Below are 21149 nucleotides of genomic sequence, written 5' to 3'. Positions count from 1 at the left end.
TCCATTCCTGGTGTCCTAGCCATGCCCTCTCTAGACCTCTTATCCTTGGCTCATGGTCACATCTCTCTTTGCCTTTGTCCCCATCTACTGCAACCCATCCCCTATGCAGTAGCCTGAGTGATTGCCCTCAGTTCAACCTACATTTTTTGAGACCTACCATGTACCAAATGCTATGTAAAGTTCTAGGGATACCAAAGTGACAGATATATGATTTCTGCATAGAGTTGACTCCTAAACAACACAAGTTTTAACTGCATGGGTCCATTTATACATGGATGTTTTTCAATAAAAGTTATACCGAGAGTGCCTGCCTCTCCTGTCTCCCCTCACACCTCCTCCATCTCCCCACCTCTGCCACCCCTGAGACAGCAAAATCAAAATAAAAAATTCTCCTACTCCTCAGTCTACTCAACATAAATGACGAGGATAAAGAAACTTACCATGATCCTCTCTCACCTGGTGAATAGTAAATATGTTTTCCCTTTCTTATGATTTTAATAACATTTTCTTTTCTTCAGCTTACTTTATCATAAGGATACAATATATAATACATATAACATACTAAATACTTGTTAATCCACTGTTCATGTTATTAGTAAGGCTTCCGGTCAACAGTAGGCTATTAGTAGTTCAGTTCTGGGGGAGTCAAAAGTTATCCATGAATTTTTTACTGTGTGTGGGGGTCACTACCCCTAACAATGGTGTTGTCCAAGGTTCAGCTGTATAAGGAACTCAGAAACATGTATTCTTAAGGGGTTCTCTTTTTCAACAAGTCATGATCTCCTTCCCTCCTTCAAAGTGTTCTTCAAAATGTTTACTTTACTCATAGTCTTCCCAGACTCCTCTCTTCAGAGCCTCCTCTCAAAAACACCTTCAGAACTCACCTAGCCATAAAGTAGACCTCACTCTCTCAGTGTTCACATTTAAGTTCATATTTTTATGCACACATTTTTCTCAATTTGTGCTCTCCTTTCTTCAGACTGTGAGCTCTTCCAAAATCAAAACTTTTATTCACAGCTTCATTCTTTAAATGAATATATCCTAGTACCAACCACTATGCCCCAGGAAGCAAACATCTTCTGTTCTTTGCCAACGAGAGTGAGTCCTTTGTTACCCGATTCAATCTGAAAAGCAACCTCAGACAGTTTCAAAGGGTGAAGTTCTTTGCTCCTTCAGCCTACAGCATTTGAGACAAGCACAGGTAAAACTTGAACCAGAGTCTGGAATTTCAGAAGCCAGCCAATCTACAGAGCTAGGCTGGGCCTTCTGTGCACCCTAACCACCAGGCTTCTTGATTTAAGTCAGCCCTACAGAGCCCCCTGCTCTCCCAGAGTCTGAATTGAGGATTCAGTGCACAGAAGTTTGTTTGCTTCCTTTCTGGGTTTTTTTTTTTTATTATACTTTAAGTTTTAGGGAACATGTGCACAACGTGCAGGTTTGTTACATATGTATACATGCGCCATGTTGGTGTGCTGCACCCATTAACTCGTCATTTACATTAGGTATATCTCCTAATGCTATCCCTCCCCTCTCCCCCCACCTCACTACAGGCGTTGGTGTGTGATGTTTCCCTTCCTGTGTCCAAGTGTTCTCATTGTTCAGTTCCCACCTATGAGTGAGAACATGCGGTGTTTGGTTTTCTGTCCTTGCAATAGTTTGTTGAGAATGATGGTTTCCAGCTTCATCCATGTCCCTACAAAGGATATGAACTCATCCTTTTTATGGCTGTATAGTATTCCATGGTGAATATGTGCCACATTTTCTTAATCCACTCTATTATTGATGGACATCTGGGTTGGTTCCAAGTTTTTGCTATTGTGAATAGTGCCACAATAAACATACATGTGCATGTGTCTTTATAGCAGCATGAATTATAATCCTTTGGGTATATACCCAGTAATGGGATGGCTGGGTCAAATGCTATTTCTAGTTCTAGATCCTTGAGGAAATGGAACACTGTCTTCCACAATGGTTGAACTAGTTCACAGTCCCACCAACAGTGTAAAACTATTCCTATTTCTCCACATCCTCTCCAGCACCTGTTGTTTCCTGACTTTTTAATGATCGCCATTCTAACTGGTGTGAGATCATATCCCTTTGTGGTTTTGATTTGCATTTCTCTGATGGCCAGTGATGAAGAGCATTTTTTCATGTGTCTGTTGCCTGCATAAATGTCTTCTTTTGAGAAGTGTCTGTTCATATCCTTTGCCCACTTTTTGATAGGATTGTTTGTTTTTTTCTTGTAAATTTGTTGGAGTTCATTGTAGATTCTGGATATTAGCCCTTTGTCAGATGAGTAGATTGCAAAAATCTTCTCCCATTCTGTAGTTTGCCTGTTCACTCTGATGGTAGTTTCTTTTGCTGTGCAGAAGCTCTTTAGTTTAATTAGATCCCATTTGTCAATTTTGGCTTTTGTTGCCATTGCCTTTGGTGTTTTAGACATGAAGTCCTTGCCCATGCCTATGTCCTGAATGGTATTGCCTAGGTTTTCTTCTAGGGTTTTTATTGTTTTATGTCTAACATTTAAGTCTTTAATCCATCTTGAATTAATTTTGGTATAAGGCGTAAGGAAGGGATCCAGTTTCAGCTTTCTACATATGGCTAGCCAGTTTTCCCAGCACCATTTGTTAAACAGGGAATCCTTTCCCCATTGTTTGTTTTTGTCAGGTTTGTCAAAGATCAGATGGTTGTAGATGTGTGGTATTATTTCTGAGGGCTCTGTTCTGTTCCATTGGTCAATATCTCTGTTTTGGTAACAGTACCATGCTGTTTTGGTTACTGCAGTCTTGTAGTATAGTTTGAAGTCAGGTAGCGTGATGCCTCCAGCTTTGTTCTTTTGGCTTAGGATTGACTTGGCAATGCGGGCTCTTTTTTGGTTCCATATGAACTTTAAAGCAGTTTTTTCCAATTCGTTGAAGAAAGTCATTGGTAGCTTGATGTGGATGGCATTGAATGTATAAATTACCTTGGGCCGTATGGCCATTTTCACCATATTGATTCTTCCTATCCATGAGCATGGAATGCTCTTCAATTTGTTTGCATCCTCTTTTATTTCATTGAGCAGTGGTTTGTAGTTCTCCTTGAAGAGGTCCTTCACATCCCTTGTAAGTTGGATTCCTAGGTATTTTATTCTCTTTGAAGCAATTGTGAATGGGAGTTCACTCATGATTTGGCTCTCTGTTTGTCTGTTACTGGTGCATAAGAATGCTTGTGATTTTTGCACATTGATTTTGCATCCTGAGACTTTGCTGAAGTTGCTTATCAGCTTAAGGAGATTTTGGGCTGAGATGATGGGGTGTTCTAAATATAGAATCATGTCATCTGCAAACAGGGACAATTTGACTTCCTCTTTTCCTAATTGAATATCCTTTATTTCTTTCTCCTGCCTGATTGCCCTGGCCAGAACTTCCAACACTATGTTGAATAGGAGTGGTGAGAGAGGGCATCCCTGTCTTGTGCCAGTTTTCAAAGGGAATGCTTCCAGTTTTTGCACATTCAGTATGATGTTGGCTATGGGTTTGTCATAAATAGCTATTATTATTTTGAGATACATCCCATCAATACCTAATTTATTGAGAGTTTTTAGCATGAAGTGCTGCTGAATTTTGTCAAAGGCCTTTTCTGCATCTATTGAGATAATCATGTGGTTTTTGTCTTTGGTTCTGTTTATATACTGGATTATGTTTACTGATTTGCATATGTTGAACCAGCCTTGCATCCCAGGGATGAAGCCCACTTGATCATGGTGGATAAGCTTTTTGATGTGCTGCTGGATTCGGTTTGCCAGTATTTTATTGAGGATTTTTACAGCGATGTTCATCAGGGATATTGGTCTAAAATTCTCTTTTTTGGTTGTGTCTCTGCCAGGCTTTGGTATCAGGATGATGCCGGCCTCATAAAATGAGTTAGAGAGGATTCCCTCTTTTTCCATTGATTGGAATAGTTTCAGAAGTTATGGTACCAGCTCCTCCTTGTACCTCTGGTAGAATTCAGCTTTGAATCCCTCTGGTCCTGGACATTTTTTGGTTGGTAGGCTATTAATTATTGCCTCAATTTCAGAGTCTGTTGTTGGTCTATTCAGGGATTCAACTTCTTCTTGGTTTAGTCTTGGGAGGTGTATATGTCAAGGAATTTATACATTTCTTCTAGATTTTCTAGTTTATTTGCATAGAGGTGTTTATAGTATATTCTGATGGTAGTTTGTATTTCTGTGGGATCAGTGGTGATATCCCCCTTATCATTTTTTATTGCATCTATTTGATTGTTCTCTCTTTTCTTCTTTATTAGTCTTGCTAGCAGTCTATCAATTTTGTTGATCTTTTCAAAAAACCAGCTCCTGGGTTCATTGATGTTTTGAAGGGTTTTTTGTGTCTCTATCTCCTTCAGTTCTGCTCTGATCTTAGTTATTTCTTGCCTTCTGCTAGCTTTTGAATGTGTTTGCTCTTGCTTCTCTAGCTCTTTCAATCGTGATGTTAGGGTGTCAATTTTAGATCTTTCCTGCTTTCTCTTGTGGGCATTTAGTGCTATAAATTTCCCTCTACACACTGCTTTAAGTGTGTCCCAGAGATTCTGGTATGTCATGTCTTTGTTCTCGTTGGTTTCAAAGAACATCTTTATTTCTGCCTTCATTTCGTTATGTACCCAGTAGTCATTCAGGAGCAGGTTGTTCAGTTTCCATATAGCTGAGTGGTTTTTAGTGAGTTTCTTAATCCTGAGTTCTAATTTGATTGCACTGTGGTCTGAGAGACAATTTATTACAATTTCTGTTCTTTTACATTTGCTAGACTCCCACACAATAATAATGGGAGACTTTAACACCCCACTGTCAACATTAGACAGATCAATGAGACAGAAAGTTAACAAGGATATCCAGGAATTAAACTCAGCTCTGCACCAAGCGGACCTAATAGACATCTACAGAACTCTCCACCCCAAATCAACAGAATATACATTTCTCTCAGCACCACATCACACTTATTCTAAAATTGTTTGCTTCCTTTCACAATTTGTTCAACATTCCCTAGGAGCCCCAACCTAAGTCACATCCTTCCTTAGTTCTGCTTGGCTCCTACTGTTCGCATTTTATCATCTAGTAGGAAAAACAGGCCAAGGTTTATATCATGACTGCCCGGGGTGATTCAAAAGATTTGTAACACTCATAATGTCCAGAAGACAAAGAAGTCAAGACCCGCCTGAATTGTGTAACAAAGTAATGCATAAAATAACCCATGAGCTTCTAGCAGCAGAATTTGCAATAACAGAGAGAGAGAGCAAACGAGATGTCGAAACACTTGCTTTAGTTCACTATATTCTAGAAATCATTCTCTAAGATTCTGTTGATGGAGCAGAAGCATTGCATACATTTACTTGCACACACATATGCACATACAATAATAGCAGCAAAAGCTCTTGTAAGAACTCTCCAGATAATAGCTCACTTAATCCTCATCATAACCCTATGAGGTAGGTATTATTATTACTTGCATTTTTGATAGACATGGAAATTTGTCACCAAGATCCCACTCCAAAAAAGGACTCACTTCTCAGTTGCAGGTAGCCTCCAGCTCCTTCAGGGTCTGTCTCAACTGCCTAGCTGTCCTGTCCAGAGTCATGTTCTTCAAACAGGAACTCTGTGTCAGCAGAATGAGTTGGGGAAAGACATACCTGGCCACTGCAGCCTGACCTGGGGTAACACCGATGGACAATATTCACTCCAGGACTCCCCACTGAGCTATTCCCTATATTGTCAGGCCTGAATCACTGAATTCTCGCTCGCCCAATTCCCTTCCTCCCTTTTCCTCTTACATGTCCTAATCTCTAATCAATGCCCTGCACACCAAACTCCACCTTATCATCTGCTTCCACACAGCTTAGCCTGGAACATGCATTTTACCCATGAAAGCATTGAAGAACAGGGTTACATAACCAGTAGTGTCAGGAGCCAGATTCTAACCAGGTAGTCTGGTTCCAGATTCCATACATTTCAGACATTTTGCTAATCTACCTTGCAATATGTGAGGGACTTTAGGTTCTTCTCCTCCAAAACTTCAATTAGCCTTAAACTCCTTTAGCTTCAGGGCTGTGAACAAGGACTGAGGACATCTCTACTGGCTCTTCCACTGTCTGTATTAAAGTTATTCCATTTGGATTGACTACCAGATAGCCTTGTGGGTTTTCTTTCAAGAGTCATCTCAGTGGCTCCACTAACACAGAGAAGATATGCTGCCACAGTTGTGAAACCAACTATTCACCGAATTAGAAAACCAAAGAATAATCAAGAACTAGCCTTTCAAAGATCACTCAATGAGCATCAATAAGGAATATACAAAAACAAAGTGAATGGCAGGTGTATGGGGAAGTTTTCAAAATACTATTACTTTCATTTTTTCCATCTTGGACAAAAGAGAAGTAAAAATTATATTCTATGTATTTAGGTCCAGAATAGGATATATTTATGTGTGTGAAAATACATTAGAGATTAACAAAATTTACTATAAAAATGGTTTTTCATTGGTGTTGCTAAATTTGCTTTTCTGAATAAACTAAAGCTTATTTTGAGCAGAGGTAGGGTGAGGGGGTCTAATTATTATTATCTCAATAATAACAATAGACAATAATAATAGACAAGAGACAATAATATTATTGTCTCAATATGTCTCTTATTGAGACAATAATAATTGGACTCCCTCGCTCTACCTCCACACAAAATAAGTCAATGAGAGCTAAGATACCACTTCCCATATGGCAGTCTTAGGGAAGAAAGACCCATGAAAAGCTGATCCCAGTAAAAATGAAAGGAATAAAGGGCAATTGCACTAAGGGCAGAAGCAGTCCTGGTAAAGGAACCCAGCCCTGCTTGTGGGGAGCTGCCACTGTGAGTGCAGTGGAGTGTCCCTGTGGTGTTCTGAGACCCACCTCAGATCCATTTACCTTCCCTCAGAGAAATAGAGCAACCACAAAATGGGCATCACCCAAGTTGTAGTCCAATAGGGGCCATGCATATTCCAATCAATCGCCTAACACATACATCCTAAAAAGAAACACCCAGACTGTAAGAACACTGAGAACTGGGACTAGGAAGAGACTAAGGGTATGTTTTGCAGGATGGGAGGGGACCGGGAGGAGTTGGGTCTGGTGTCACAATGCCATAATGCCCAGACAGCCATGAATACACTTATTTTCTCTTTCAGGGGCCTTGTGGCAAATGCCCCATATGATCATACCAGGTGACCGGGCTAAGGAGAACTGTTCACAGTCTGTGTCCTGATACACAAACTCCTCAGCTAACTCAGAGGAGATATGCTGCCACAGTTGTGAAGTCAACTACTCGCCCAATTAGAAAACCATGGAACAATCAGGAACTAATCTTTCCAAGATCACTCAATGAGGCTACAGTTGTCCTCCTTCTAAACTCTCATACGAATTCACCCTTGCCTCCCATCGGCCTTTTCTCCTTCTGCCTCCTCCTTCAGTTGTGTGTGTGTCCTCACTCTTCTGACAGTCTTTGAGGGCATATGGTTAGAATTCAATGAGTGAAAAATGAAAAATAACTGGTTTTTGTTTTTTTGTTTTTTTGTTTTTTTTGAGACTGAGCCTAGCTGTGTCACCAGGCTGGAGTGCAGTGGCACAATCTCGGCTCACTGCAACCTCCGCCTCCCAGATTCAAGCGATTCTCCTGCCTCAGCCTCCCAAGTAGCTGGGATTACAGGCACGCGCTGCCACACCCAGCTAATTTTTGTATTTTTAGCAGAGATGGGGTTTCACCATGTTGGCCAGGACCTCGTGATCCGCCCACCTCGCACTCCCAAAGTGCTGGGATTACAGGCGTGAGCCACCGCGACCGGCCAAAAAATAACTGTTTTCTAAGTTTTTTCTCATACCACTTCTAAGCTAGCTCTGGAGATAAAACAGAAGCGATATTCTAGAAACATATGGTGGCCATTTTTGCAATAGGTCTTAAAGTGGGACGTTGTCTTTATAAACAAAATGACCCCTTAAACACTTATGGTTCCTTTGAGGTTCAAATGAAGGTAATAAATGCCCCCAGGTGTGACTCTCGACAATAGGCCACGGGGATCATGAACGTCAGTACAGAGCCTGGATAATGCCTCTTTTGTTGTTTGGTATTGCCTGAATTACATTTATCAGTATTGTACGAAGTCCACACTAGATGTTCTGCATACATTGTCTCGTTTGACTCTCACCACTGCTGTGAATGCCACCGCTAGATTTCCCCACTCAGTCTGGCCTTCTGTCCAGCTCTCTGCCTGGGATTCCCTCCTCTCCACTTGTCTAGGTTAAAGCTTCAAGGCCCAACTCACATCTCCCTCTTCCATGTAGCTGTACCTACTTCTGCTCACCTTGAGTGATCTCTCCTGTGAAACTCCACAAGTCTTACATGCTATGGCACTAATTTGACACCTTGTCTTAGTCTCCTCCTTATCTACACGTCCTAACTCTCTAACTGAAATGAAGGCCTCTTTGGCACAGGAATCAGTGTCCTCCATATATATTCCTGCTTATCATATTTTTAGAAATTTAGCCAGGCATGGTGGCTCTCACCTGTAACCCCAGCTACTCTAGATGCTGAGGAGGGAGGATAGCTTGAGGCCAGGAGTTTGAGACCAGCCTGAGCAATATAGTGAGACTCCATCCCTAAAAAAAAAATTTGAATAGAAATTTAAGAAATACAATAAATCCAGAGAACAATAGTCATATCACTCAGAATTAACAACTGTCCCCATTTCAAATTATTGCTTCTAGACTCACCACCAACCCTTCCAATCCTCTCCTCATGGACCAGAAAGCCCTACTCTCATGAAGTTGATATGGCTTTTACAAAAACCTATATGTGATATGAACATTATATGGTTTTTTAAGTATGGAATTTAAATTTTGCACAGGGGGCATCATATTTTACTATTGTTCTGAATCTTGTTTCTTCCACTCAACATTATGACTTTTCCACTACTAATTAATTGCATTCTTAGGACACATACCGAACACCCAAAAAGGATTTTGATAATGATGACAATGGGGAAAGACACCAAGCAAGGAGTGTAGTTACAAATTCATTTGTAATGTTTTCATGAGCTTAAGAGCTCATAGCTAAATATATATTTTTTCATTCCAGGTTCTCAACTTCCTAGTTCTGAGATCTAAGGCAAGTCACCTCACTGGTCTGTCTCTCAGTTTTCTCAACTATAAAATGAAGGATAATACCAGTAGCTAATTTACGTAGTGAGAAGTAAATTAATTAATGCATTTCAAGGTCTTAGAATAGTGCCTGACACATAGAAAGCACTCAAATCATGATTATATTTAATAGTAATCATAATTAATATTATTATTATGAAACTAAATATATAAGCAGAAGAAAATTTGAGTGATACGAATTTTGAACCTGAAGAAAGTAGTTAAGAAAAAGGAAAATGCATTACATTATCAATAGTAATTAATTTTATCTTTAACATTTTCCCAGAAAGCCTGACTCTTAAAGCCAAGGCATTTTGCTTTTTTATTCAGTTAGCTTTAGGCCTGTGGCCAATCAGTTGTCAATCATTTTAACCTCTAAACCTAACTCCATAGAACAGAATATTCTCAGAGAAATATGAAAAGTGAATTTTTTGGCTGCAATTATACCACAGTTTCTCAGCCTGCACTTTACAGAGTTCTTAGCTGGTAAGGAGAAATCCCCTCTAAAACCACTGTGACAAAGTTATTTTAGAGCTTCAGTAGTTTTTCTTTCTTTAAGCCAGGCTTTTTTTTTTTTAATGTTACTTTTACACTCTCTCTATTTATTTATTTTGGCCTCGGTGGACTAGACCACAGCTAAAACTTTATGGACCTAATAAAATTCCCAACATTCTCAGACACGGGTCGTGATGTTTGTGCACTGGGTAGAAAACAAAGGTGCTTTATGAAGAGAATGGGCATGCTCAGAGATCAATGAACTGAGGTCAGGCATGCAGGATTGGGCTGCAGCTGAACTGTGGCACAGGCAGTGTAGGCCCTGGGTGTGTCCCTCACTTCCAAACTTCCTCTCCTCTATCTTCTTTTCCAGACAAGTGACACAGTGCTCTCATGCTGTCCCTAGATTACCAGAACCTCCTACCAGGATACTGCTGAGGGCTTGTCCTCCCCAGAATAAACTTTCCATCTTAACCTGCATGCACAGAACTTTCCATCTTAATCTCACATTCATGCCTTCAAAAATTATCTTTCTTGTGCTTCCCTCCCTCATAAGCTTTCTTTAGGTGAGAGCTGGTTAGTCTGATAAAGTCAGTTCATTTGTTTTCTCTACCTTGTAGGAAAGTCCTTTCAACAGAGGCTTTCTGGAGCCAACATCTCAGTCCAAAGCTGTGGTTCTATTGTTGAGGAAGTGGTTAGAGCTTACGGAAATCTTGAAATTATACCACATCAGAGGCTGTCTCATTTATCCACCTACAGGACTAGCCTCCAAAGCTTGCAGGTTATACAACACTGCGTTTCGCTGCAGCTGTGCACGAGCCATCAGACAGCATAATTTCATCTTGCATTTCATTATGTGCTTTATAATTTTTCAATACACTTTTTTCTCACTTGATCCTCATGATACCTCTTCCTTGTTAGGTAAAACAAATCTGTCTTCCAATTAGTTTTCTATTTCCTGTCCCAAACAGAAGGTCTCTTACCAAAACGACTGGATGATACTGTTCACTTAAGGGGCTACATTATATCAGCTGATAAACACAAACCTCAGTTAGATGAGTAAAGTGGGAAAGAAGTAAGCGGTGGTTCTTAGTCACTTGTAAGGGATTAATCATTTTAATAATTCAGGTAAGAATGACTATTCCTGAAAGAAAATTTCAATCCTCAAATAGTCAGTGAATATGGCCTTTCCATCTATTAAAATCTGAAAACTCGGTGGGAATATATTAAAAGATTTATTATGCCTTGAGCAAATAAACATTGCTGTCAATCTTCAGATAAGATTCAGAATGAGTTTTTTACCCCAAAAATATTTCATCTATGCACCTGCTATCAGGCATAATATTTTAAAAAATTATTTTTAACACTAACATCTTGCCATACTTCCTGCCCCTATATTTTGTCCCTTGGTCCTTATGTCTACACGAGTTTTTAATTTAGATTCTATTTCCAGCAGATGTTATACATTTTAGTGTTTGCTTTCTCTTTCATTAAAAAGGACATGTAATACATTTTATGGTTTTGACATAAAATTATCTAAATAAAGATGTTCAGAAATCCTGAATTGTTATTCCTTTTTAATGGTGTTTGTGTGTGTGTGCATGCATGCACATGCACAGTTTCTAGGAATAGGAGAACTATAGAGAAGAAAGCTGTGTTTCACAAATGCCAGAAGACAACAGGACTATCATCCACTAATTCCTAAAAAGGTAATAGAGACAAGCATTTCAAATCACAATAAAAATTGCTATTGCAGAGCATTTTTAATATTCAAAACCATTCCCTTAATGCTCACTATAAATATTAGCTCACTATTCTAACGAGTAACTCTCTGGGTAGTTTAAGTATGTAAAGATCTGCATTTAGCTGTATTAACACAAGTTTAACTATAGTTCTGTTTAACAGGCTACTAGCTCTTTAATAAAACTGACTTCATCCAAATTTTTCACGTTCCCTTCTGAGTAGAAACACTTCACCCAAATTATCAGTGCCCTCCAGTCCTTTCTCTTCCCTCACTTTTCCAAAAAGGAAAGATTTCAGTTAACACCCCTGTTAGCTTTAAGTCTATTTAAACATCCCCAAAATATGCAATGACCTCAGTTTCTATTTGAGAAATCCATAAGTTTGGGGAAAAAGGAAAGGACTCTTGAGCTCACCTGGTCGCTTGTTCATTTCCCAGCAAGGTTGATCTTGTTAACTGTAACAGAAATAGAAAAAAAGCATAAATGACAACAGAATCTCCATGGCACTTTAAACCTATAAAATTCTCAGAGTCTGGGAAATTGGCACACAGAGTTATTCTTGGCTTCTCACCTCTCTTGAGCAGAGAAGCTATTTTTTCATGCATTATGAGATACTTTATCCTGATTTTCTTGCTTTTCACTGGATGATCTCTAAGGTCTTCAATGATTATGGAATTCTGAGGTTTTACTCATCTTAGTACCCTGAGGGTTTAGCACAGCAACAAGAGCTGACACCCAATAAATATTAAATGCTTGAACTGAGTGAATGAATGAATACATAAATGAATGTCCAAAATTGGGATTAAACTAGGATTGCAGCTCCAGGAGACAAGAGGAGCAGGGTTAATGGACTAGTGCAAATACCTGAAGGAACATTTTCAAAACTGATGTCATTGGACATTGGACGGCCTATTAATGATATTAGAACTCTGGGATGATGAGTCAGCCTCAATTAATAAATATGTCTTGGAAATTGCACTAAGAGATTGAATTTCCTTAGCAAAGTATTGGTGCAGCATCTGAGCAAGTAGTGTGTAGTCTGTGAGACAAATAAGGGTGAAACTGGTCATCAAGAAATGCTGTGTTGAGACTTTCTGTTTTGCAACAGGAAAATTACAATTAACTGCCAACTCATCTCATCTAGCACCTGCACCAGAATCCCCTGAGCACCTAAAGATCACATTTTAGAAATTCACAACTCATACACAAACTTTTGGGATTACATCCTCACTCCAAAGTCAACTTTTCTCCTAAATATATTAGACGAACCAATTTCTCTCCCAAATACCCCCTACTAATTTGGTTAGTAGCAAGCAAAGGCTTTCCCACAGTAGGATCTAAGTCTTAAAATAAAAGAACTACCCACCCCCGTCCCAACTCCAAAAAAAGGCAAATGGTTGATAATAGATTCTTTCCTGAGGTTCCATAGACTGAGCATTAAGACGAGGACCCAAGGCCTGAGAGTTGTGAAAAGAAGTGTTGAAAGGAGAAAGCAAGAGAGTTGGGCACAAAGAAGGAGGCCGCTTACCTCTGAGCAAACCAGGAGTTATATTATCAGGACACCTCAATATTTGAGCACTCCTTCTTCTCCAAAGTTTTAGCAAATGATAGTCACAACCCACAGCCAGGAAACTAGACAAGAACCACTTGCTGGAGACTAAGCAAGAGCTTCCTCCCAAGTGTCTGCATCAAGACTCCAGCCCTAGTCTCACCGACAGCCACACCTCTCCCCAACTCCCAACTTTAGGCCTGTGACAAACAAGAAGGTGGAAGAGCTCAAGGTGTGAGAGCTCTCAAGAAAAACCAAAGTATTCCCCATAAGGTCTCCAGAGGACCTAAATTCCTCTCTTGTTGGCTCCACTTCCTGACACTCCTGGCTTCAGAAGTAAGCACTCCCAGGAGTGGGAAAGAGAGGCCCTTTTTCAGGCTAAGCCCCATGTCAGGAGATCGAGGACTCCACCTGCAGGCTTAATGTCTGTGAGACAGTCACACTCCCAGGGGCTTCACTACCCCTCAGATGCTTTCATTTGCTCACAAATAAAGCCACAAGTGAAAGATCAATGCTACTCTCAAACAAAGGAGGAAAATGTGTTTTTCAAATGGAGTTTGATGGTTGGCTTGATTTGAGAAAAACTGTTCCTGATTAGTTTATCTTGAAATTCTTAAATTTAAATTGAGCATTAATGGATTGGGGTAGAGGACAGCTTTATTTACATTTATGCTATAACCAATTTACTCTATACATTAAAAATTAATATGTTTTACCAAAAAAAGTTTCAAAACATATAGCAACATTTTTCCCTTGAGATAAATGCCCTCGTGTACATGAGTGTATCCAGCTAGCCCTATTTGGGTCAGTGCTTGGATATGAGTATTATCAGAGTGTTATTTGAGCTTTGTCTTCAAATATTTTAAAGCATCCATAGTCTGCCTTTAACAAAATACATATGAATAAACCCAAGATGATGAAAAAGGATTTATAGAATTTTAAAGGAGAAGAAGAAATCTATAAGGATTATTTAAAAACTGATTAAGTAGAGAAATAACAATTTTAAAAACTGATGAAGTTGAGAACAGTTATATAATTTCTAATTATGGAATTACATATACATAAAATCCTGAGACAACTAAACTTTTGACTTCTACAGAAAAGTTACCGTCTTTCAATACTGTTTTTACCTTTCTGTTTTCAGGTTAGCAAGACTGGAGCCTCCTAGGTTACCTCCCTTTGATTTTTCTGAGTTATGTGACAATCTCCAAACTTCCTTCCATCTCTCCTGCCTCACCACATTTCCATTCAGATACACTGTACTAACCAAAACCTTCCTCAAGAAAAAGTATATCACAACTTAAATAGATGGGGTAGCGGTGGGAAGAGAACTCACAAATGAATGCTGTACTAGTAGGTATTGTCACAAAATGGAAATCAGATTTCTTCCTCTAATTTCTCAATAAAACTTATTTAATATGCTATTCATTGTGTATTTGTTCATATTTCTGCCAATTACAATAGATATTTTATCTGGGAGATGGAAAAATTCAATAGGCTCATTGAGAAGACCACCCTCTCCTCATACATCTATATATATTTTTCCTTATTGCCACACTTACATAACTATTCATTACTCTAGCACACATTGTTTCCTATTTGCAATTACAAGTATACTTACGTAGAGCATTTCTGGATTTGTAATCCAATGGGCACACAGATCAATGTGGGGGAAAGATTAGGGGGAAGAAATGAACAGAGCCTCAGACACCTGGTAAACCTAATTGCATGCATGAATTATAGTCCCAGAAACAGGAGAATCAAGAAAAAATGGGGAGAAAACTACTTGAAAAAGTGATAGCCATACATTTTCCAAATTTGATGAAAGACATAAATTTACAGATCCCAGGTACTCCATGAAAACCAAGAAGGATAACCACATTGAGACACATCAGAGTCAGACTCGGAAGTTAGGAGTCAGAGTCAGAAGCCAAATATAAATAGTAAAGCTGGAAAGCAGCAAGAGAAAAATGGGGCATTATATATAGGGGGACAGTGCTTCAATTATGAGTCAACTCCTCACTATAAAACTATGAAGGCCAGAAGAGAGTGAGCAATATTTTTAAGTGATTTTTTAAAAAATACTGTCAATCCAGAAACCTATACCCCACAAAATATCCTTCAATAATGAGACAAAGTAAAGACATTTTAAGTTAAAAGAAACCAAGATAATTTTTCTAGAAAATTGGCAGAGAAAATTAGACTCCATACTACAAGGAATCTAAAGAAAGTTCTTCAGGCTGAATGGAAATGATACGAAATGGAAATTAAATACTCAAGAAGGAAGAAAGAGCAATAAAAATGATAATGGAAAATATTAAATCAAAACATTATAATAGACAACCATTTCAGGCTATGATTGATAAGCTTGTATCAAACTAACCTTCCCCCATTAAAAAATAAAACAAACAAACTTAAGAAAAGAAACACAGAAGGGTAAGCCAGACATTTGGTGCACATATGCCCTCAAGGCATTTGCTCATTCAGAAGTAATGGCTAAAACACTAAGAAGGTGAACAGGATTTTCAGAACTTTCACAGGGCTGGAGCCAAAAATGGAGTTCAAGATTGCATTACGTTGAACAGTGCTCCCCCCACAAAAATTCATGGTGGTGGGTGCCTGTACAGCTACTTGGGAGGCTGAGGCAGGAGAATCGCTTGAACCCAGGAGGCAGAGGTTGCAGTGAGCCAAGATCATGCCGCTGCACTCCAGCCTGGGCAACACAGTGAGACTCTGTCTCAAAAATATAAAATAAAATAATTCATGTCTACCTAGAACCTAAGAATGTTAACTTTTTGAAAATAGGGTCTTTACAGTTATAATTATTAGGTTGATGCAAAAGATACTTGCAGTTTTGGCCATTACTTATAAGGTGGGGCCCTGGTGGGAGATATTTAGGTCATGGGGGCAGATCCCTCATGAATGGCTTGGTGCTGTCCTTGTGATAGTGAGTGAGTTCTCATGAGATCTGGTTGTTTAAAAGACCTTTAAAAACTAAGACGAGGGCATAGTAGAGTAGGGTGGGCCCTAAATTCAATATGATTGGTATCCTTGTAAGAGAAGAGACATGAAGACAGACACTCAGGGCAGAAGGTCGTGTAACAATGGCAGCAGAGACTACAGTGATGCAGCTCCAAGCCAAGGAATGCCAAGGATTTCTGTGACCACCAGAAATTAGAAAGAGGCAAAGAATTCTTCTTCCCTGGAGCCTTCAGAGGGAGCATGACCATGCCAACACTTTGATTTTGGACTTCTAGCCTCTAGAACTGTGAAAGAATAAATTTCTGTTGTTCTAGGCCACCTTCGTGGTAAATATTTTATGGCAGCTAATATAGCTTGGATGTTTGTCCTCTCCAAATCTCATGTTGAAATGTAATCCCTAATGTTGGAGGTGGGGTCTGGTGGGAGGTGTTTGGGTCATGGGGGCAGATCCCTCATGCATGGCTTGGTGCTGTCCTTGTGATAATGAGTGAGTGAGTTCTCATGAGAGCTGGTTGTTTAAAAGTGTGTGGCACCTCCCCTTCTCTTTTGCTCCTGCTTTCATCACATGATATGCCTGCTCCTCCTTTATCTTCTGCCATGATTGTAAGCTTCCTGGGGCCCTCACCAGAAGCAGATGCCAGAGCCATGCTTGTACAGCCTGCTAAAACATCAGCCAATTAAACCTCTTTTCCTTATAAATTACCCAGGCTCAGGTATTTCTTTATAGCAATGCAAGAACAGCCTAACACAGAAGCCTTAGGAAACTACTATAAAGGTCAACCAAGGAGGAAGGATCTAAGAATCAGTGTGAATCATAAGTAGACCAGTCATCGCAAAGAATAAAACCTAGTTTCAAATCAGCTCAATCCTGAATTGAATTAAGGTGAATTCCCTGTAACCTAAATGCCTGTCAAAAGCAAACATAAACCCTCTTAGAAAAAACATAACATTATCTGTCCAAATTATCTCTATAATTTCTATACACATTACCTATAACTCAATTTAAAATCATCAAACATTGCCACAAACAAGGTCTCAGGGCACAGCTTTGTTCAAAAGAGTTTCTACCACTGGCCCTGGGCTTCTGAACTCCCCACATTGTTCTTGCTTGTCGCACCATTTTGGAAGTCATATTTTGCAATTGCTATCTAAGAATTGCCACATGTGGACTCCCAGAGTCCCAGGGTGTGCTCTGAATCTTCCCTCTCTGCCTCCTTTTTTTTTTGTTGAGATTAAGTCTTGCTCTGTCACCCAGGCTAGGGTGCAGTGGCACAATCTCAGCTCACTGCAACCTCCACCTCCCAGGTTCAAGAGATTCTTCCGCCTCAGCCTCCTGAGTAGCTGGGACTACAGGCATGCGCCACCCCGCCCAGCTAATTTTTGTATTTTTAGTGGAGACAGGGTTTCACCGTGTTGACCAGGCTGGCCTTGAACTCCTGACCTCATGTGATCCCAAAGTGCTGGGATTACAGGCATGAACCACCGCACCTGGCCTCTGCCTCCTTCAGCAAAAGAACTTGCTCTGCTTTATCTTGTCCCTTTCAGAGTGGAGACCTCTTGTTCAAAAGGAATATTTGCTGGACAGCTCTGAGAACTTCTAGCCCTTACTGCCCTTTGAAACCTCTGGTCTTACCTGAAGAACAACATGGGCTTCCTGTTCAGCTCTGCCTTTGGCAACACTTAAAAGAAATCTGGAATTTTCTTGGGTTTCTTTTTCCTCTCACTTTTGATTAAATATATTTTGAGGTTTTTTTTTTCTTGTTGTTTTTAGTTCTCCTATTGTTTGAGTATTTTCTAGAAAAAAGAGAAAATTTAGAACTAGACTTTTCAACTGCACCTGGAACTCTCCAAAACACAAAATTGTGTATTCAATATGATCTGTGCTAATACAAACATTATCTATTGAAAAATAAAAACAAAAAGAAATACAATAGAATGCTAAGAAATGATGATTGGCAGGTGATGCAATTGCAGTTTATTTCTTATTCTCTAATATTTTATGTCTCTCATGTCTTCCATAATATATGTATTATTTTATACTCATACAAATAAAGTGGTAATTATATTAAAGTATTATTTATAAATAAAAGTAAAATTTTAAAAATAAAAATGTAAGAGTAAGAAGGTATATGCTCAGTGCTGTAGAGGCCACAAAAGATGTATAAAAGAGTTCCTGTCATGAAGGATCATGGACTTTGGCAAGGTTAAGAAAAGGCAAGTAAATAATCATTTTAATATAAAGTAAATTTGAAAATGCCCTAAATCTCAAACAATAGGCCATGGGATTTTAGAGTAGAAGCTGGCACATTAATTTAGAATGATGAGGAAGAATTTCCACTGGGAGGGGCCACATAGATTTTGACTCAACAACATAGTGAGATGGAAGAGGGATGGGGAGAAAAAGTATGGTGATCAATCTAGCATAGCCCAAGATGTGGCGAGAAGAAAGCCCAGAATGTCAGAATGTGCTTGGTGACTGGTGATTGTCCAGTTTGACTTGAGAGAGAGACCATCGCAGGGAGATGAGGCTAGAAAGATGGACCTTGTGGCTTCCTTGAGTGCCAGGCTGAGACATCTGTACCTAAGTCATGAGGAATGGGAACTCCTTGGTGGTTTTTTGAGCAGAAATGAACACTAAAAGGGGCTATACTCAGGGAAGACTAATCTAGCTGTGGTGAATAGTAAGACTGTTAAGGACATTGTAGCAATGAAAAGACAAGAGGTAAGAATGGTGTCAGTGAACGTGAAAGAGGGGACTATTCATTCACGAAATAAATCTTTACTAACTATCTGTTTTGTCCCAGGTCCTGTGCTAAGTGCTAAGTCTACAGTGGTGAATGAAACGAATATAATCTCTGCTTGCTACATAGTGGAAAAGAGATAAATAATTACAAAATATCATTTTGGAAATAAAAACAACCAGCTGCTGCGTTACCACATAAAAAAGCTGCAGAAGGGGAGTGATCAGGGAAAGGCATCCCTGAAGTGATGATACAAGAGATGTAAAGATGAGGAGTTGGCTCTACAAAGACTGGGAGAAAAGGGTTCCTGGAAGAGCAGCCAGCACAGAAAAACTCTCAAGAAAGAAAGAGCTTAGTTCATTTGAGAAGCTAAAAGGAGGGCTATAAGGCTGAGCTATATTTACTGATGGGGTGAGGATAACGTTGGACAGTAAGGAGGTACCTGGTCATACAGGACTTTGTAGGACAAACTAAGGATAATGAGAATGGTACGCTAAGAAAGCATCCAGGCTGAACAGATGGCAGGAGTACAAGAAGCTCAAGGGAACAAAGGAATGATTAGAAAACTCTGGTGTCATTTTGAGCTCTCCAGGAAGCAAACACACCATCATGGAATCAGAAATGCAAGAGATCTGTTGCAGAGAAATCCCATGAAAAGGAAAGCAGAGATGAAGCAAGAGTAGTCAGGGAAATCCTTCAGACCATGACACAGATCTGACATCTGTGAAAGGAGAGGGGCAAATGAAGAAGGATTGAAAAGGAAGAGCCCGAGGTAGCAGTGCACCTGTGAGAGTCTCAGGCCAGTGCAGGAAGGCAGAGCAAAGCAGCCTGTGAGGGAGTCCCATGTAGGCAGCAATGATCGGTTTGCATGCTCTTCCTGAGCTCAGCCACTGGCTGGAGATGGCCCATGCAGAGCAGAGCTTCAGCATGAACACTGCCACGGATCCTGAAGGTACAGCAAATGCAGGCTGCCAGCTCACTACACTCCTTGCAGCAAGTTCTCACTTAAAGGGACATCTGAGCAGGGCACCTCCCAGGCTCTCGCATTTGGTAAATCTAAATGATCTCTTTGGGGAAGTTATAAAACTAAGTTCAACTAAAATTTCAAATAATAGTTAACAGAGAAGACAGGAAGAAGGAGTTTGGGTTAAAGCATGTTATGATTTGACCTTCTTTCAGAAGAGGATAGAGACGTGGATTAATGTTAGGTCACATGAAACATGCATATTGAAATTTTAAGGGTAACCTTTAAAAAGAATATAAAGTGTATGCATAACTTTTCAGATCAGTAAAAGGACCAGAGGAACAGAGAAAACTTGATCACCATAATCAAAGGTAAGAAAACAGGGAAAGAATTAAGGAAAGCAAAGTGAATAGAAAGCAAAGCGTAGCTCAGAGAAGCTACATGGAGGAAATAAAGTGGAAAAGTACAGGCATGATTATTTCCTGGTCTTTCATAGTAAGGCAAGCAATATCTTCTAAAATTGATAATTTATCTAGAAGGAGTTTAAGTATTTTATAAAGTTAAGCAATAGAACATATACAAATAGCGTAAAACAAAAAATGTGGAGGGTAAAAGTTGGGTAGTATAAGCAAGCTAATTATTCTTCTTTCATTGTAAGGAATAAATAAATGCTATCTAAGGTTAACATGTTAATTAGCAGAGGTATGAATATATTATTCAGAGTATTGGGGTTAAAGCATAAGAATTAAAAATACAAATGGTTAAAAGTAATTGAGTTTAAAGAACTACTGAGGATGGAGGAGTGGAGGTAAACTTTCACATTTATTTTTTGTACTTCTGCGTTTTAAAATTTTCTGCCAGTAGATGATGGGAGCAAAGAAAGAAGAGTGTTCATAGATGGCTCCATGCTGATAGGCCAAAGAATAGGTAGTACCTTTAGCAAAAACAGAAAAGCCAGAAGGAGTGGGTAGGAGATAGAAGAAGATATATTTCTGTCTCACTTGTTAAACCACTGTGTTCAAATTTCTGTTTATAAATCCATTCAGCAAAGAGCTCTTTAACTCATTGAATGCAGAGGCACAGGTTCACAAGCAGGCTAAGAGAGATGGAAGCTACAGAAAATTGGTTTGATTTTTATGATAAATAAATATTGCCTTGACAAAGTATTTGTTAAAAGGTTCTGGATTCCCAGCCCTTATTCGGTCAGGATCATTCCCACACAGGGCCTGTGGTTACCCTTCTTGCTCTGAGACTCAAAAGAAATTTCAGAAGGAAAAGATTGAGAAACCTGCTTTGAATTACAGCATAGCTAGGCAATATTTTTCTTAGCCAGTGGGTTTTTCTCTTTATTGTGCTTTGGAACACATTGGAAGAGGACATTGGAATGCTGGAAGGGAAGGAGGTCTCTCAAGTTCCCAGCTCTAAGTTTAATAACTTGAATATATTCTGGTTAAGTCATCTTCAATAACTTGTATCCATTT

The 21149-nt window shown here is 39.4% G+C and overlaps 1 long non-coding RNA gene across 1 annotated transcript in view, besides 1 other annotated feature; it reads right to left on the bottom strand.

Moving 5' to 3' along the window:
• Positions 1 to 21149, bottom strand: part of LOC101927947 (uncharacterized) — a 469997-nt gene that overhangs the window by 338112 nt on the left and 110736 nt on the right. The window contains exon 7 of the long non-coding RNA XR_007058336.1: positions 11847 to 11887. This is a non-coding gene — a long non-coding RNA (uncharacterized LOC101927947). The remainder of the gene's footprint in view (positions 1 to 11846; positions 11888 to 21149) is intronic.
• Positions 9837 to 10033: a silencer, noted in NCBI's record as "fragment chr4:154871827-154872023 (GRCh37/hg19 assembly coordinates)". NCBI's record gives its function as "represses an EF-1alpha promoter that drives an FKBP-Casp9 reporter gene in an ReSE screen in phorbol 12-myristate 13-acetate-treated (for megakaryocytic differentiation) K562 erythroleukemia cells {active_cell/tissue: K562(+PMA)}" and the evidence as "EXISTENCE:reporter gene assay evidence [ECO:0000049][PMID:32094911]".

Source organism: Homo sapiens, chromosome 4, assembly GCF_000001405.40.
Source record: "Homo sapiens chromosome 4, GRCh38.p14 Primary Assembly".
In the NCBI taxonomy this organism is placed as follows: Eukaryota; Metazoa; Chordata; class Mammalia; order Primates; family Hominidae; genus Homo; species Homo sapiens.
Note: the sequence above shows the minus strand (reverse complement) of the source record. Positions and strands in the feature narration are given on the sequence as shown.